This window comes from Homo sapiens, chromosome 8, assembly GCF_000001405.40.
Source record: "Homo sapiens chromosome 8, GRCh38.p14 Primary Assembly".
Classification (NCBI taxonomy): domain Eukaryota; kingdom Metazoa; phylum Chordata; class Mammalia; order Primates; family Hominidae; genus Homo; species Homo sapiens.
In genome coordinates, this window is record NC_000008.11 from 52,202,060 (window position 1) to 52,220,110 (window position 18,051).

The 18,051-nt window shown below is 38.0% G+C and overlaps 1 protein-coding gene across 60 annotated transcripts in view, besides 1 other annotated feature; it reads right to left on the minus strand.

Annotated features, from left to right (window-relative positions):
* Window positions 1-18,051, minus strand: part of ST18 (ST18 C2H2C-type zinc finger transcription factor) — a 299,042-nt gene that overhangs the window by 91,222 nt on the left and 189,769 nt on the right. For 23 of the 60 annotated variants that reach the window (NM_001352871.2, NM_001352836.2, NM_001352872.2 and 20 more), the window contains 2 exons: window positions 12,144-12,198; window positions 10,020-10,050 (listed from right to left, as the gene is read on the minus strand). In NM_001352871.2, coding sequence (NP_001339800.1) covers window positions 10,020-10,050; window positions 12,144-12,198 — 86 coding nt within the window. Of the gene's footprint in view, window positions 1-7,494; window positions 7,709-7,970; window positions 8,059-10,019; window positions 10,051-12,143; window positions 12,232-15,682; window positions 15,843-18,051 lie in introns of all 60 variants that reach the window. The other 37 variants (NM_001352876.2, NM_001352829.2, NM_001352834.2 and 34 more) reach the window with 9 other exon arrangements.
* Window positions 11,368-11,576: a silencer, noted in NCBI's record as "fragment chr8:53125987-53126195 (GRCh37/hg19 assembly coordinates)". NCBI's record gives its function as "represses an EF-1alpha promoter that drives an FKBP-Casp9 reporter gene in an ReSE screen in K562 erythroleukemia cells {active_cell/tissue: K562}" and the evidence as "EXISTENCE:reporter gene assay evidence [ECO:0000049][PMID:32094911]".

Here is an 18,051-nt window from a genome sequence, read left to right on the forward strand (position 1 = left end):
GGGGCCAGAACTAGATTGTTATGCGGGTAGGGCTCAGGTGTTCTTATCACAATAAAATAAAATTTTCTTAAAAATACAAGTAAAGGGATAGAATTAGGGAAAGAACTTAAGAACTTGGAAGGAAAGAAGTCACAGGCAGTTTAAAGACAGTTGTAGAGAATCAACATGTTAAATAGAAATGCCTTTATCATGCATTACAAGCTACATTATTCTCAAAACAAACAGGGGTAGATAATGTAAAATAAAATATTTCTCTAGTAACATCATGTACGAGGCCTACACTGGTAAATAAAATAAATTTTTTGTCTTCAAAAAGTAGTCAGCATATTAAAAAGGCAGAATTATATATGATAAAGTTTTTTTTTTAAATATAGGTTTTTCCTTTTTTTATTGTCTCCCCAACGAAATTGTAAAGCCGAAGGCAGAGAATCTGCTTTCTTCTTCTGAATGGGTGGACAGATGGATGAGTGAATGACAAAACAGCTACAATTCAAAGTAATAAGTGTTTTGAAACAGACAAGTAAAGAAGTGCTTGGGGAACACAATGGGAAAAAATCTTAGTCTGGGAGGTCATGGGGACACTTCATGGAGGAGGTGGTATCAGTCCTGAGCCTGAAAGAATGAGTACAAATTCCATATGTCAAAAGACAAAGGAAAGAATTATGCCAGGCATGGCCTAGAACAGAGTTGAGATGGAAAGAATGTTTTATATCATGAAAAATCAGAAGTAGCATTAGGTGTAGGATTTTCTCAGAAAATAGGATGGCGATGATATTGAAAAAACAGAATTTGTTGGTGGGAAGGGGGATAAAAGTGATTTTCTCCTACAAGGAGAAGAAACTAAACAAGAAGAAAAATTACGCAAGCAAAAAACCCAAATGAAAAGGTAGCAAAGGAGAGTATCAAAGATAAAGATGAACTCACAAGATATAGCTGAATACTTCAAGAGGTTAAACATACAGGGGTAGATAATGTAAAATAAAATATTTCTCAAGCAACATCATGTACGAGGCCTACACTGGTAAATAAAATAGATTCCTTGTCTTCAAAAAGTAGGCAGTATATTAAAAAGTCAGAATTATGTATGATAAATTAAAAATTGTTTTAAGGTAGGTTTTGACATGGAGGGGGTAGGGGGAACCATGACACCAGGGCTCAAAGTGCTATATGCAAAAAGTTTCATTAGTCAAGAAGGCAGCAAGGCTTGATCTTTGAACACTTTTCCAAGGTCACACAGCTAATCAGGGAAACAGCCCCGGAACACAGGGCTGCTATTAACCCAGTGTTCTTTCCACCACACAAACTCTTGGCTTTTCTGCCAACCTTTGTACCATAGAATTTGACAAACCAGTCAAATTCTAGGCGAGGGTTTGTAGTAGAGTTTTGAGAATTTACCATTGTGAGGAAATATTGGAAACCAGAGCACATGATATTTGGATTGTAGGGCGTCCATTTGTCAACATTATGGGACACATTTTATTTCAGTTCACATTTTAAGCAGGAAAAAAATTTATGAGGTGTCAGAAACATTATGTTTGCAAGCATATAATATAATTAAAATGAGACCTCAAATAGGTATAGTTTACTTAAAAGATAGCAAGAAAGGAAGTATTCTGCCTGATGATTAAAGTTCATGCATTTCTTCAAGTAGGACTGGGGAGAAAAGAGATAGGCAGTCAAATAATTTTGTTTGCATTGGAGGTGCTGAAGAGTGCATCAGGGTGAGAAGATTTGGACCAAAGGGAGCCAACGACCCGTGCAGTGCTTGAGCAAGTCCAAAAGAGCCTTAGCAATTTAGTTCCCAAATTACCAAAGCTGCAAGGGAGCTGTGTGACAGGCATATGGAATTTGACGGAGACTTCAGATTTTGTCAGAGACATGTAATTAAATACTCTCAGAACACAATTTAGGTGGTTATAGAGTCATCTCTGGAAGCATATAAAATAGCATCTTAAAAGTCTCCTTCCTTAAACTCTCATTTCTGATACATGATGAATGTTTAAGGAAGAGCTGGTTGATTTCAAACACTTCTAAGAGGTAAAAACAAAGACTTACAGACCAAGGGTTGTGCATTTTGCCACACTACTGTCAAGATTTGGACATTTGTTCTGTATTCTGCTGCTTGTCTTCAAGTAGAAATGCAAACAATGATTAACATTCCCCAAGAATTCATAGATCAAGAAAATACCAAAGAAACCCAGATTCTTGACTTTTCAGCCAACCTTCTACCACTGAAAATTAGCAATGGTGAGAAGAGTTTTTCTAAGTAATTAGTAAAGTCCAACCTATGGTCTCTGTGATGTGTGCCTCTCAAACTTCCAAACGCCCGTTAATTTCTTATAAATCTTGTTAAAAGGCGAGAGGGAGCCTTGGAGGCTGCGTTTCTAGTAAGCCCCCAGGGGATGCCGTGGTTCTGAGCCGGCAGGCTCCAGGGGCACCTCTGAGTCCCAAGCTGGACGTGATCTATTCTCACCCACAACAATGCTGTTACATCATACCCTGGGTTTGTTACCGATGCTGTGAATTGCGTATCCACTGAAACATCTAATACTATGCTAGGGCACAAGAAAAAATATCAAAGGAAATATTCATCCCTCAGTCAAGAGTGGCAAATTCTGCGTGTAAAAATATTTATATTACAAGAAAAGAAAAGCTAAATGGATGAAAAAATTATCTCTGACAATGCAAGTCAATCCTCACATGCAGCCTGCAGTGGTGATATTTTGCCACAGTTTTAGAAGATGTCTGATTTTTAGAGATGTTAGTGCCTTAGACTCTCAGCTCCTGTAATCTATTGGTTGACAGAGGCCACCAATATCCTTGTGATAATATTTGAATGAAGAGAAAAACAGGCAAAGAAAATAAAGCATGTTTTCCTGCTCTTATTTTGTTTCTGAGTCTCTTAACTCTACGGACATTTATTCATTAGCTCCGTAGTATTTTTCTAAAATACAGATATTAAGATTTAAAGTAGACCTTAGACAAGCTGGAGAGTACTCTGTCCTTTGCAATCACCATTTTATATATACATATATATATACACACACACACACACACTATGCTTTATTACACTGTGTTGGTTGGTATAATCACAGTTATATATATTATGTACTATGTAATTTATATAATAATATATATATTTTATTACATACATGTAATAAAAACTGGAAAAACATAACTATTTAGTCCTTTGTGGTTAGGCTACTATGAAGGAAGAGGATTCCACTTTTAGTCCATTTGTAAATGACTATTACAGGCCTCAGGTGTAGGTTAAATGACTCACACCTCCCATACTGCAAAATCAGCCTTGGGAATACAAGGCCCTTGATAGGTCATCACTTGGGAGATGGCATTTCAAAAGAAAAAACAAATAAAATGGATGTATATTTGAGTCTTTCCTAGATATTTTAACATCTACTTAAAATCACATGATTAGCTCCTAGGAAACAATTTAGAAGGAAATGGTAGTAGTCTGTTTTTTTAAAAAAATTTTTTTAATTTTAATTTTATTTGTATTTTATTTTTGATGGAGTCTCACTCTGTTGCCCAGGCTGCTGGAGTGCAGTGGTGTAATCTAGGCTCACTGCAACCTCCGCCTCCTGGGTTCAAGCAATTCTCCTGCTTCAGCCACCTGAGTAGATGGGATTACAGGTGCGTGCCACCACCCCTGGCTAATTTTCATATTTTTAGTAGAGAAAGGGTTTCACCATGTTGGCCAAGCTGGTCTCAAACTCCTAACCTCAAGCGTTCCACCTGCCTTAGCCTCCCAAAGTGCTGGGATTACAGGGATGAGCCACTACGCCCGGCCAGTGGTCTCTTTATAATTGGCAGTGCAGAGAATTATGAAGATGTGGTAGGGTTTGTCTGAAGGTTAGGATACTTTTCAGCTTGATTTATTAATTTATTGATAAAATTTAAATTAATATTTCCCCAAAGTGTGGATAGTAAAGTGGCATGCAGCAGCCTGCAGTTGCAGCAGACAATATGGCACGGCTGCAGGAGGTGCGGGGTCTGGACTGGAGACGGGACCTGAGTCCTGTCTCTGATTCAGTCGCTTCCCTGTCACAGGCCAGGTATAAAGCACTTAACTTCCATGAACTTAGCACATGAGTAAATGCAGGTAATGTCATTTGTCCTGACAACCTTATGGGCTTGCTGTATGGCTCCAACCAGACGCTGTGCACATTGTTCCCACAAATCACTCAGTGCGCACCTGTTGAGGCCCACTCAATACACCTTCAGTGCTAAATGCTAGAATAGGCTATGCAAATACATAAACATACAAGAGCATTAGAGTTCATCGGCTTTACTTGTTAAATTACAAAGTCTTTTTTTGTTTTTATTCTTATTGAAAGCTTCCCCAATATATTTTAAGACACTTTTCTGCCCTAGTAAGAACAGTACAGTAAACATAAAATAATCTCTGGAATGCTTCTGTTGGTGTGAGGCCTCCAGCCTCATGTTCCACACGGAGCCCCTCCATCACACAGAGGCATGGACAAGGCCGATGCCGGGGTGGCTGAACCCTACAGATGCCTCTGCCACACCCTGGAGGGACACTTCTCTTCTAAATTAATTTTTATCATCAGCTTCTTGGGTGATCAGTCTTGAGTCCCTCTCAAAGTGGCTTATAGGTAAAAAGGGTTTTCTTGAAGGTGTCAGTTTCTTGGATTCTAATGTTCAGGTCTGGCCTAGTATTGAAAAAGATACATTGCCAACATGATATAGTAGTTATGCTATTAAATCTCTAAAACATGCTTTGAGCCCCACATTTGGAAATGATAACAACAAAAGGAAAGAAGAGAGTTTCTCCCTTCTTTTCTCTAACTTCATGATTAAAATGATTAATTTCCTTTTACCTGGCTGATGGACTTACGGAAGACTTACTATTAGAAATCAGTATCAGTTCACTTTTTTCTTTAGTTATCACCTCCAGGAATCTTTATGTAATAAGTTCCAATAAACTCATGACCACTAAAGGAAACTGAATTCTAAAAAAATTCCAAAATATTAAAGTATCTATTACTGATATAAAGACTATAATGAATGAAATAATATAAAAGAAAAACAAGAAAGCCATCTAGATCTGTAATTCATAACAATTTTCACATACTCATGAAATGTTATTGTTAAATCTATAACTAGGCCAGGCATGGTGGCTCACACCTATAATCCCAGCACTTTGGGAGGCCAAGGCAAGAAGATTGCTTGAGCTCAAGAGTTTGATGGAGACCAGTCAGAGCAACATAGTGAGAACCTCATCTGTACAGAAAATAAACAAAATTAGCTGAGTGTGGTGGCGCGTGCCTGTAGTTCCAGCTATTCCAAAGGCTGAGGTCGGAGGATTGCCTGAGCCCAGGAGGTTGAGGCTCCAGTGAGCCAAGGTCACACTACTGTACTCCAGCCTGGGTGACAGAGTGAGACCCTGTCTCAAAAAATAAATTAATTAACTAAATTAAATAAATCTATAATTGATTAGAGAGCTCATAAAATATTTAACATTTTAAAACTTACAGGAAAATGCCAAATGATAGGATTTTATATAAAGTAAGAAATTATGTAAAATAAAACAAAGAGAGAAACTTAAATTAAAACTTTCATTACCAAACTTAAGCTGACAAATTGGTACACAGCAAAAAGACTATGAACGGACAGAGAGATTTGACTCTAATATACTTAAGAGGCCTGAATTCATTTGTCTCTCTAAGTAGTCACATAGGAAAGTCATTTCAGGGGCTAGAATATATTTTCCTAATTAGAGGAAGGGGGCTGGACTGGTGTAAAAACACTTTGCCAATGCAAGAGACAATTACCAATATTAGTAGATGCAATAGCATGAGGTTCAGACTAAGGATAATAGTAATAAAAGAAAAGAGCAGAGATAATGCAATGGTCATGATTTAGAAAGACACAGGTGAGTCTTCTCGACACCACCTGTAACTTGAATTGTGTTGGAGGAAAGACTGGAAATGCTAATAAGAAATATGATTAAAGGTGGGCCTGTGGTTATAAATTGCTTTTTTAATGGTGATGATAGTAGCTGACATCGAGTATAATAAGAAGATGAGAATGTCAGTATCAATTTTATTAGTGCCATGAAGAATATACAGTATATTTAAATTAGTTTCATTTGTATTAGTATTTTCGTAAGTAGTCGCTCTAGAAGCAATAACACGTCCAATGCATTCTAAAAAGAAGAACCAAATAAAGTTGCCAGTGTTCTCTACAAAATAGCCATAACTTTTACACTGGGGAAAACATGCCACATTTCCTAAGATACTCAGAATTTAGGCACACAGTTGTGCTGGATCACAACAAACCTGTGGAAAAAATTGGAAGAGGAATTGCAAGAAATGGACAAAAATTTAAAAGATGCTAAAAATATAAGCTTCCATATGAATCAGTACTTTTCTCCCAAGATTTAGATAGAATAATAATTAAGATCTATGTCTAGGTCAGCTTAAACTACTTAAGAAGCAACTTGGGGCTGGGCGCGGTGGCTCACGCCTGTAATCCCAGCACTTTGGGAGGCCGAGGCGGGAGGATCACGAGGTCAGGAGATTGAGACCATCCTGGCTAACACGGTGAAACCCCGTCTCTACTAAAAATACAAAAAATTAGCCGGGCGTGGTGGTGCAGTCCCAGCTGCTAGGGAGGCTGAGGCAGGAGAATGGCGTGAGCCCGGGAGGCGGAGCTTGCAGTGAGCCCAGATCGCGCCACTGCACTCTAGCCTGGGCGACACAGTGAGGCTTCGCCAAAATAAATAAATAAATAAATAAATAAATAGATAAATAAAACAACTTGGGACCTTGCCTGTCTAAGCATGGTCATTCTGTTGAACAGAAATGATTATAAAATTTCAAATGATCACTTAGTGATTTTTATAAGCTGGGTCTCATTAAATAAAAATAGGTGAATTAATGATGTTTATAAATTTTCCCAGCAAGTATCATTAGCTTTCTGAGTTACTCTAATAACAAATTAGTTAAAATGAAATATGTGACAAAAGATAATCGTTAGAGAATTAGGAAAATAGAAAACATTATTATCTTAAAGTATATTATTTGTCCAAATTTAAAAAAACTAGGCTGTTTGAAAGATAAACCATAAGGGTTAAAAATATAGACTGTGAGAAATCTGTTGCTTAAATCACTTTTTGGTTTCTACTCTAAACAGTATTAATTGTGTGTGAGATAAAGACTAGTCTGGTGGGTGAGAAGCTGGCCTTTGAGTCAGAAGTCTGGATTGCCTACCAGCTGTGTAGCCTTGGGCTATTTCCATAAATTATTTATTTTCACTTTATTCATCTGAAAACTGAAATATCATAGTTTCTGCCTAATAAGGCTATCGGGAGGATTAAGTGAGATAATAGAGGTTAAGAAAGCTCAAGAGTGTCTGGCACATAGGACCCCAATAAATATTAGTTTATTGACTGGGTGCAGTGGCTCACGCCTGTAATCCCAGCACTTTGGGAGGCCGAGGTGGGTGGATCACCTGAGATCAGGAGTTCGAGACCAGCCGGACCAACATGGAGAAACCCGTCTCTACTAAAAATACAAAATTAGCCCGGCATGGTGGCTCATGCCTGTAATCCCAGCTACTCGACAGGCTGAGGCAAGAGAATCACTTGAACCCAGGAGGCGGAGGTTGCAGTGAACCGAGATCGTGCCATTGCACTCCAGCTTGGGCAACAAGAGCGAAACTCCATCTCAAAAAAAAAAAAAAAAAAATATATATATATATATATATATACATGCTTATTATAATTATTAATGCTTCTGACATGCTCAAATAGTAATTTCTATTTCTCCACATAGAGCACAGTAAACATTTCTTCCCACAAATTTGCTTCTCTCTGCTAATACCTAACTTTTTCTCTATGAATTATATTTCTCTTCTAGGCCAATGTACACACATTAATTCCTTAAAGATTCTCTTGAGTAAAAGTTGTTTTCAAGAAACGTCACTACCTTTTTTTCTCTGAATGACTTGGTTCCTTTAAAGGACTCTGGTGTCCCTCACCAGGTAAGTGGCCTCATGTCCACGGGCACACTGATTCTGCAACAAGAACCAAGAAACCACTCCAGGGACTGCAAACATGTCCCCCACTTGGAGCACTGGGTCATTTTAAACTTCTCTTGACTATTCTACAGGGGACATAAATAAAGCCTCCAGAAATATAAGAACTTTAAATAAGAGCAAATTTTAAAGGCAATAATTTAAATGAGCAAGGTTATTCAACAATTTAATCCTGTCCAAATGTAGGGGTATACTATATGTCCTGTTCTTATCAAAATACTTTCAAAATTAAGATTCTTAAGCCAGGTGCAGTGGCTCACTCCTGTTAATCCCAAAGCTCTGGCCGAGGTGGGAGAAACACTTGAGCCCAGGAGTTTGAGACCAGCCTAGGCAACATAGCAAGACTCTGTCTCTACTAAAAATATAAAAATTAGCCGGGTGTGGTGGCACACACCTGTACTCCCAGCTACTCGAGAGGCTGAGGCAGGAGGATTTCCTGAGCCCAGGAGTTTTAGGCTGCAGCAAACCATGATTGCACCACTGCACTCCAGCCTGGGAGACAGAGTGAGACCCTTTTTGAGACCATGTCTCAAAAAAATAAATAAATAAAAATAAAAATAAAATTAAAACAAAATTCTTAAGACAAAATTGATTACACAGGTAGGGCCATGGATTCCCTACTGACAAATTCCACAGAGAAGAGTATCTGCATGAATTCTAACAGATAAGTGTTTCGCTACATAAATGAACCAAGGCTATGACGGAGATCATAAGCCACATGGAAGCAACGGTGACAGCCTGTGTTTTAGAGGAATCACAAGCTCAGTTGCCTGGAGAAAGAACTGTGTAAATTGCATACCTTACAAAGTTCAAGTGTATTAGACACTGTTACACATCCTTCATTTTTCAAACACTTCCCTGAGGAACAAATACAGACCATGGCTGTTTCTGGAAAGGTGAACTAAACAGTGGATTTGGGACTTCCTAGGTTGTCAATAGCACATGCAGAGAAATGTACAGAGCAATTATCTTGTTCCTGACAGAAAATGTGTCGTCTGCATGTGTTTCTTCTTTAAAAAATGTACTTTCTTTAACTATACCCTGACAAAGACTCTGAAAGAAAATCTAATTAGAATTTATCCTGGAAAACCTGTTAAGGTGGAATTTTCACAATATTGCCTGAGGTGTAGTAGCAGCAATATCTGTGACGAAAATGCTTGAATCCACTCAAAAAAACTATTGGTCACATTATGTTCCCATGTTTAGGTTAAAAAATTAGTTACCTGATGGAATCATCTAATTATTATTATTATTATTATTATTATTATTATTATTATTATTATTTTGAGATGGAGTCTCACTCTGTCACCCAGGCTGGAGTGCAGTTGTGTGATCTCAGCTCACTGCAACCTCCGCTTCCCGGGTTCAAGCAATTCTCCTGCCACAGCCTCCTGAGTAGCTGAAACTATAGGCACACGCCACCATGCCTGGCTAATTTTTTATATTTTAGTAGAGTCGGGGTTTCGCCATGTTGCCCAGGCTGGTCTTGAACTCCTGAGCTCAGAAAATCTGCTCACCTCAGCCTGGAATCATCTAATTATTTAATGCAAGAAGTGGATAACTTAGGATCTGGGTTATCCATCAGTCAGGTTCATGGATAACAGCTCAGCTCTTCCCTGACCATCAGTGTGAAATCCAACCGCATGCAAGGTGTGCACAAAGGGATCACATGCTTGATGAAGAAAAGTGGGCTACCACTCACATCACAGCAAAAATTGTTTTGTTATTTCATTAATACAATAGATTGAGTTGTTCAGGATCGAGTATCAGTACAATCATTCTCCTCCGCCTTCTTGGTGCATACACAACGTCTGGATGGAAAAAGCCCTTTAGCCAATTCCTTCTGCTAAAAAAAGTATTCTGAGGCTTGAAAAGTACAAATCATTCGAATAATCAAGGCCCATTAATGTGAAAAAAAAGTAATATAGGGTAAATCTTACCTGAGCTCCTGGATTAGTGAATCCATTGGCACTGTTGACAAAAGAAGAAAAAAAAGAAGACTTAATCAGTTGATAATTTTCAAAACTGTATAATGGAAACTTTTCCCCCACCTAGAGGTAACGACCAATAAGTTTCTCACTGGGTGGGTTCATCTTTTCTTGTTCTAGTTCTTTGGAGATGAGAGGACAGATGGATATGGCCCAGAACAGACCGGCTGTGGGTTTAGTACCTTGGGTGAACTGGGGCCTGATAATCGTAGATTGGACTTTCCAGGTACCTGTCCTTAGAGATTCATTGAAAATTCACAGGAGCACAAATGATTCAGATTATTTTTTAAATACATTTTATTTTTAGTACAAAATTATTCAAAAGGAATCCCAAGATTATATCTTTATTAATATTAAACACACATTCAAATAAAACTGGTAAAGCTTTGCTAAATAAATATGTCCCATGCTTTTACTCATAAACTTCCTCCATATAGAAAGGGGAGGATGAGCTTCAGCCATGTTAATATCACCAACCTTTTAAAAATGAAGAACTTACAGGAAAAACAGCTTTGATTTTTCTGACTGAAATGATGGGAACTAAAGAAGTTCATGTTTATAAATACCTGCCTACACAAGGATAAGCAGCATATTGAGAGAGACAACAGGTGGTTTTAAAGATTACTCATGCCTCACGAGAAACAGTTGTTTCATTTCTAGAAGAACATTTTGGCTCTACTAAGGGTGTTCATGCCTGTGCCAGAGGAATTTAAAGTCCAAAAGGAATTGCAAATTTAAAAAAACCCACATTTTAAAAGTATGACAGAGTAGTGTGCTTTTAGAAGTCAAAATAAGAAATTCAAATAATCGAAATACACACTCTAGCATGCTGATATTTATGGCAGGCATAAGCTTATTCCAAATAGTGAGACAAACTGCTTTTCTTAAGCTGGTATCCTATTGAGAAGTTTGCTCCGTAAAAAAGCTATTGTTTAGAAATACTACATTCCAAATATTAGGATATATAACATGGTTACTTTAAAAGTAATATAAAGTAAGACTGGAAAATAATACAGTATAAAATTTCTGTTTAGGTAGAAAAAATCTAATATGAGCACAGCATTATTCTGCATTTTGATTACCATGGTTAATGATAACCATGGTTATATTGTAACTGAAAAAAATTTTCCTTGAATTTATTAAAAATGTTGGGATTCTGGACTTTGCTCAAACAGGCATTAACTATCTTGACTACATACACAAATATAGATAACGAAAGCATTCCATTTGATCAGCCGCTGTCAGTTGTACATCTCAACACCCTCCTAAAGGGCTGCAGGGTCACGGCTTTGCCACAGCTTTTCCTCTGTGAGGTGGACTCTGAGGAGGGTGGGTTGGGGTGGGTGGGGAACAGCTATCCAGAGTGTTTTCAGAGGCTGTGGCGAACCTAGAGTTTTCCACTTAGAATTAAGGGTCACAAAAATATAGCCAATTATAATAAAATTTATTTTCCTTAAGGGGTATTATTGCCAGTCAATCCTGTTTTCCAGATGTTTAGATCATCAAGGGCCTGTTTATATTTCAATATTACATTACCATCTGTTGGTTACAAAAAGAGAGAGATAACCAGCAAGTTAAACCTTCCAGACATCAGAGCTGCTGGAAATTCCCAGCTGAGACAGTCAAAAAACAAACACCATCATTTTACTTGAACTAAGTTTAGGTTGGGAGCCACTAAACCAGATAACATAAAAATCAAAACCTGCTTTGACAATAAACTAACAATTCTGTCTTTTCCCTTGGCCATTAAAGGTCACTTCCATAATTTGAAAGTTTCCATGAAACATCCCTCACTTGCTGAACCTTATGCTGTTTTGCGTGATGTTCAAATCCACTCATGATTGCATTTTGTAAAAATTAGCATCATAGATCATTTGGACTTTTCTGAGTTCTTTAACTCCTCGTTCATAATATTTTGCCTCTCCGTGCCAAGAGCCAGTGTCCTGGCTTGATTTGAAAAAAGAAGCCCTGAGGAAGTTGTAATCATTCTGACTGCACACGAGGGACTGAGCACTGGAACGCTCATATTTCATGGTGTGGTGGGCATAGTGTCATAGAACCTGCTTGCTAACTCACCCTCGGTTCCTTTAGAGCGAGTACGCAGCGTTTTATCTTCAGCCTCTGCATCCATCTATAACATGAACACAAAGTCCTGAGGTCATTCCTTTGACATTGACCAAAATATGAAAACATGTAATTAGAAGTTCTGAAGGTCATTATGAAAAACAGTAGCCTTCCATGCTCTTGACTCACAGCCCGGCTCTATAGTACATAACTGTGACTCCCCCCACATACCACCAGCTTTGGAAATACATCTACAGTTGCTGGAAACCAGAGAGAACAGCGACAAGAGGGCAGATGTCCTTGTCCACAAGTGTTTGAAGTGACTCAAACACTTCTGGCATTACAAAGATAGAAAAAGGCTCATCTCATTAACAGTGGCTGTGAAGGAGATGAAACCTCATATGTCAAACCAAAAGATTTCAAACCAATTTACTAAAACCTAAGTCCTTTTACATTTCCAGACTCTTCCTGATACATATCTCTTTCTAAGCTTGGAAAAAAATGATTCCTCGTGTAAAAAAGCACCATGAAGACAAACCCCTCAAATGCCCCCAGAAAATACCATTAGAAATTTTGATTATCAACAATGACATATGTTTACTCTCAGAATTTCAGAATAAATACCAGTTATAATCATTCAAATGTATAAGGAAAGTGAAATTTGAGTGATATATGTGCCAGTGTCAAATTCTCCAAAACATCATTATTAAATATTTTAAATGTCATCAAATCAATTATCAAAGGGATGCAAAGACTTTAAAAGCCTGTTGTTTTCAGACTCTGACCTTGATACACCCATCCATTTCACTAGAATCCGCGAATCATCTCTTAGTTTAATTCACTTCTGCACATTATCAGGAGGAATTCTTAAATATAAATAAGTTGCTTTGCTTGTTGAAAATCAGAGGCAGGCAGAAGGTGCGCTCAGTGGCTCCCATCCTTAAATCCTGACACTAGCTCTGATGTGGTGTGACTGCAATGGTAATGGGAGCTGCATTTCTGCTCTCAGAGGCTGAGTTGTGATTGAAGGCACTGACCTGCCATAGACTTATAATAGGGGAGCAGGTGTGGCAATGATGGACTTTAATTTCCTTTAATAAACCTTTTATGTGCCACACTTTTACTGCCATTCGACGCTCTCCAAGGTCCTGCACATAATAGTTTCATTACTTTTGATTACTATAGTCTATTGAGACAAACAACTCCAGAACACACTATATATTATGTTCAGTTAAACCAATATAGACTATTTATCCATTGTGCATTTTTTCACCTGCAACACTACAGACAAAATTAACGACAGCTCTCGTAAGCTAAAACTATTAAAACCACCAGAACTCTTTTGTCATCATTTCATAATAAACACCACACCAATCGTTGAACTGCTTTTTAAACTAGCAAACAAAAAGTGTTCACTGCCTTTGCTGAACAGCAGTTGCTATAGTCTAAATAAAATGGTCCATTGTTATGAATACTTTAAAACTACACAATAAGAGAAAACAACAATAAAACCGGGGTGATTTTTTTCCTGTCAATTTTCCTTCTTTTCAGACCACATGAGTTTATGACAGATGTGACACTGCCTAAGATGAAAATGGCTTGGTTTACTCAGGATAGTAAGCACTGTGTTGTGAAATCCCCCTCCTCCCGTGAGTATCTCTGTTGCATACAAAGTGGCTCAACTCTAGCGAATGCCCCTCCATGTGCTAAATGAATAACTAGATTATGAGAGATCAGTAGCATGTGAGGGTGAAAATGATGAAAACCAACACATATTTCTGAGGAAGCCACTTCTATGTGTGAGCCTCCACAAAGCAACACCAACCTATTGTTATCTTGCCACATGGATGGTATTAATTCACCCTAACCACTCTGAAGAATTGCCCAAAAGGCAAGGATGAACTCCGTGAGTTTCTTTAGCAAAACTGAAACACAACCTGCAAAGAGTGCCAGTGGACACAAATCAAAATTTCAGAAGCATACTTAAGTGCAATCTTCTTTACACCGGCTTTAAGCTGAATTCTATTTTGCAATTCAGCTAACCAAGGGCCTGGTTGCCTTGTCACCACTCCAGGCAGCCGCTCCCTACTAAAGTCATTGGAAGGGATACATAAATATTCATGGACCTCCCTTTGACTGTGCTTGGAATGCTGGTCTCATAATTGTGTTCTGTTTGAGCTATTGTCTCTTGTTGGTATAGGATATAGATATCCTATACAAACATATTTAAAAACTGAGAACTCATTCATAGAATTAAGTTTTCAAATTTAACTTGTGGGTCAAGTTGCAGGAGTGAAATGGATCAAGGCCATAATATAAAACTCAACTGTTTCACTTGCTTTCTCTTCTTTACACATAGAAAACAAAAGTTACTACATTGTGTCTACTCAAGTCTGGGGCTCATTGGGGAATAAGAACATAAGAAACTGAAGGCATATGTGTTTTTCGGTGTGGAGAGTTTATCGCTCGTGAGATGGTTCTTTCTTCTCATAGATCTCAATTCAAAAATAGGTTTTGGTTTCTAGAACCTTGTCTATGGGAGTAGATATTTTAAGTATTCTTCATTTGGATTATTCTCACGGACCTCAATAAATTGCCAATGGGTAGGTTTAATTTTTGTAAAATCAGGCCTCATATTCAATGAGTACCTTGTCCAAGTAATGGATCATTAGAAGTGGAAAAAGATTTCCACGTCAGTGTGTGTGTTCAGGCCCCTGGGGTGGGGTGGAGGTAGATTATCATTCTTTCAAAGTCTTCCGGAATTAGAGATGAGGCACATGATTATGGTATGATTCAAGAAATCAACCTAACTTGTTCTGAAGTCTTGAAAATTACACTTCTTATTGGGAACTTTGTTTTCTTCCCCCTGGAAAAGAAGACTTGATCGTCTTTACTGCCTAAGCCCCGAATACTATTGATAAGCTTGCAATTATGTCTGTAAAACCTAATGAGTCCTTTGTTTTCTCAAAACAGAGGTTTTATTTTTTAAAAAGCTGTTCCTTTCCAGATTTCTTAGGGCATTTATATACTTCATTCTCATATACCTCATTATAGATGAAAACTGACAGAAGATATATTCTGAAATTCCTAAAATGGGTTCCTCCTGGCTTTGAGAATGTACTTCTCGATAGGAGTAAGAACAGTAAGGGTAAACTCTGCCACTCTTATTTTCCCTAACTTGAAACTACTTTAAGAAAAAAGTTCAGTTTAAATGATAAGTATCAACTTATTATGTATAATATTTATATAAAAAGGAGAAAAATGTGGTTCTTGCTCAGTCTCTAATTCTTAATAATGCCATGAAAAAAACTTCGAAAAGGGCTTAATGTCCCAGTTTTCTGGGGAGAGGGGTGAATGCAAGGTGAAATGGCAAGAGGAAAAGACATGTACAAAATAAAGAAGGCCAAAAAAGCAAAACTTGGAGGAAAACATGCAAGAGCTAATGATGGAAATAAGCAGATACACAATGAGGAAGAAAAATGACCAGAAAATGAAATTGAACTCTTGGGTTGAATTTGGAAAGCTCTCATTTAATATCTTTATGTACTTACAAACCTATAAACAGATGTATAAAGTGATTTCCTAGTACTTGTACTTGACGTCTTTTCTTACTGGAGCTTACATCAGGGGCAATAAGCAGGTCTCTTCCACATCGCCCCAGTGCACAGATCTGGTACCTTCTTTTAGGCTGAAGAGGAAGTCCTGGAATTGCTGTTTTGTGGGAGGGAAGAGATTCAAGGAGCAGGACATAGAATTCATAAACTCAGTTTTGCTTTCATTCACACAAGCCAATTACTGACATGTGGGGAGGTTTTATTTCCCTTAGATTTTATTTTTCACTTAAAATTCTATTTTAACCTAATGGCAAATAAAACAAAAACAAAAACACAAAACAAAACCCAGCTGTCCAAGTAAAAATTTAATTACTTATTAAAAAGCTGAACATAAGAAATCCCTTGGCTATGTTGAGGTTTTGTTTCTATCAACAGGGCTCTACACATTAATATATATTTATAATATACCTCTCTCTCTATATATAATATACATTTATAAGTAGTCTTGAGCTTCTTAATAATTGCAGAAAATGTCATGGTGACCACAATGTTTTGAGGGCGCTTTCTGAAAACCCTTATAAAATTAATCGTAAAATTGTCTAGTTAGATAGATATATCATGCAGGTAGCTACTCTTTTTTTTTCTTTTTTTTTTTGAGATGAGGTTTTGCTCTTGTTGCCCAGGCTGGAGTGCAATGGCATGATCTCGGCTCACTGCAACCTCACCTCTGCCTCCCGGGTTCAAGCGGTTCTCCTGCCTCAGCTTCCCGAGTAGCTGGGATTACAGGTATGTGTCACCATGCCTGGCTAATTTTTTTTTTTTTTTTTTTTTTTTTAGTAGAGACTGGGTTTCACCATGTTGGTCAGGCTGGTCTTGAACTCCTGACCTCAGGTGATCCACCCGCCTTGGCCTCCCAAAGTGCTGGGATTACAGGCATGAGCCACTGCACCCGGCTGCCGCTCTTAATTTGAGAAGTCCATCACACACATTCAACTTGCAGTAAGCACCCTTTTGAACAAGATTTTGCTGTGCTCATCGCCTGAGATTTTTGACCTGGCAGTGTGGTTCTGTCGCTGTGTTACATTGCTCTTGTGAGATGTCGTTTCAGTCCTGGGGACTCACAGCAATGGTGGGAGGAAGATCTGTGGCTGCTGAGAAGAGCTGCTGGGGTCCTCTCCATGAGGAACGCTTTATCTACAGTGGATGCTTCCTTTTCAAAAATCACGTTTTTTAAAAAAAATGATGAAGAAAAACTCAAGAAGTTGGAAATGGCTAGGCCCAGACCACCAAACAACTAGATGATGCCAGCATCTTGGACTGAAATTTGGCCAGATTGAAGAACAAAGAATCTTACATTGAGTGCCCTTTCTTTTGATGATTCTGGCATCATTTTGTTTTAAACATAGCTTTGGGGCAGCTCACAATGGGAGCAAAGATGTTTACCTGTCACACAAGGAAAAATCATGGGAAAAATGAGCTGCAGTACTAAAAGGATGCTAGTTGACTTGTGGAGAGGAGTACTAAGAATGTTTAAGTATGTTTTTTCTCTGTTCTTCCTTTCCTCTTATTTTTCTAGTTTTGTTTTCATGCATTTATTAATAACTCAGGAAGAATAGGAGCGAATTCAGAAAGTAAACTTAAAAAAAACTAAACTCTAACAAAACCATGTCTTTTTTACACCATCTGTGACAACATATTTATAATTTTCAAAACTTTTCATCTTTTATTTGCACACTATTCTTGATTTCAATGCTCTGTTCTTGTATGCCTCTTATTTTACTGTCTTTGGCTCTATACAGAGAACTGAAGAATCGAAGGATGTGTGCACTTTGGGTTTATGATCCTTCTCCTTGTCTCCCCTAATCCCTCCTACACCTGTAAATACCAAACTCAAAGGAAAAAATAGATTCAGTCCACTGTCATTTTAAGTAGAGTTTTCTGGGAAGCAGATCTTCCTGAGGGCCATGTGTAGGCACATTCCCCCCAGAAGAGATGATTTTCAAAGGAAATTTCCTAGAGCTTCTTAGAAATGCACTGCCATAAAGGAAACCTGAGACCTGAAACAAGCTTGGGTAGCATTATAAGGTGAATGGTTGGTTTTGATTCTCTCTGATTTCTGAGTTGTCACTGCTGGTGTAGACTTCATCCTGCAACTTTGTGCAACTGGCAATGCTGAATATAAACCAAAGCCATGTGTTGGTGTCTTTTTGCCAAACGACTCCAGCAAATAGTCCTATTATTCCCTTAGGTAACCAATTTGTGCCAGGGATTTCTATTAGTCACTGTACCACGGCCTCAGAGTCACAGCTTTGTGACATTAGGGGGCAATCTCCAGCTTTACGTTTTAGAAGACAGTTTGTTTTTTG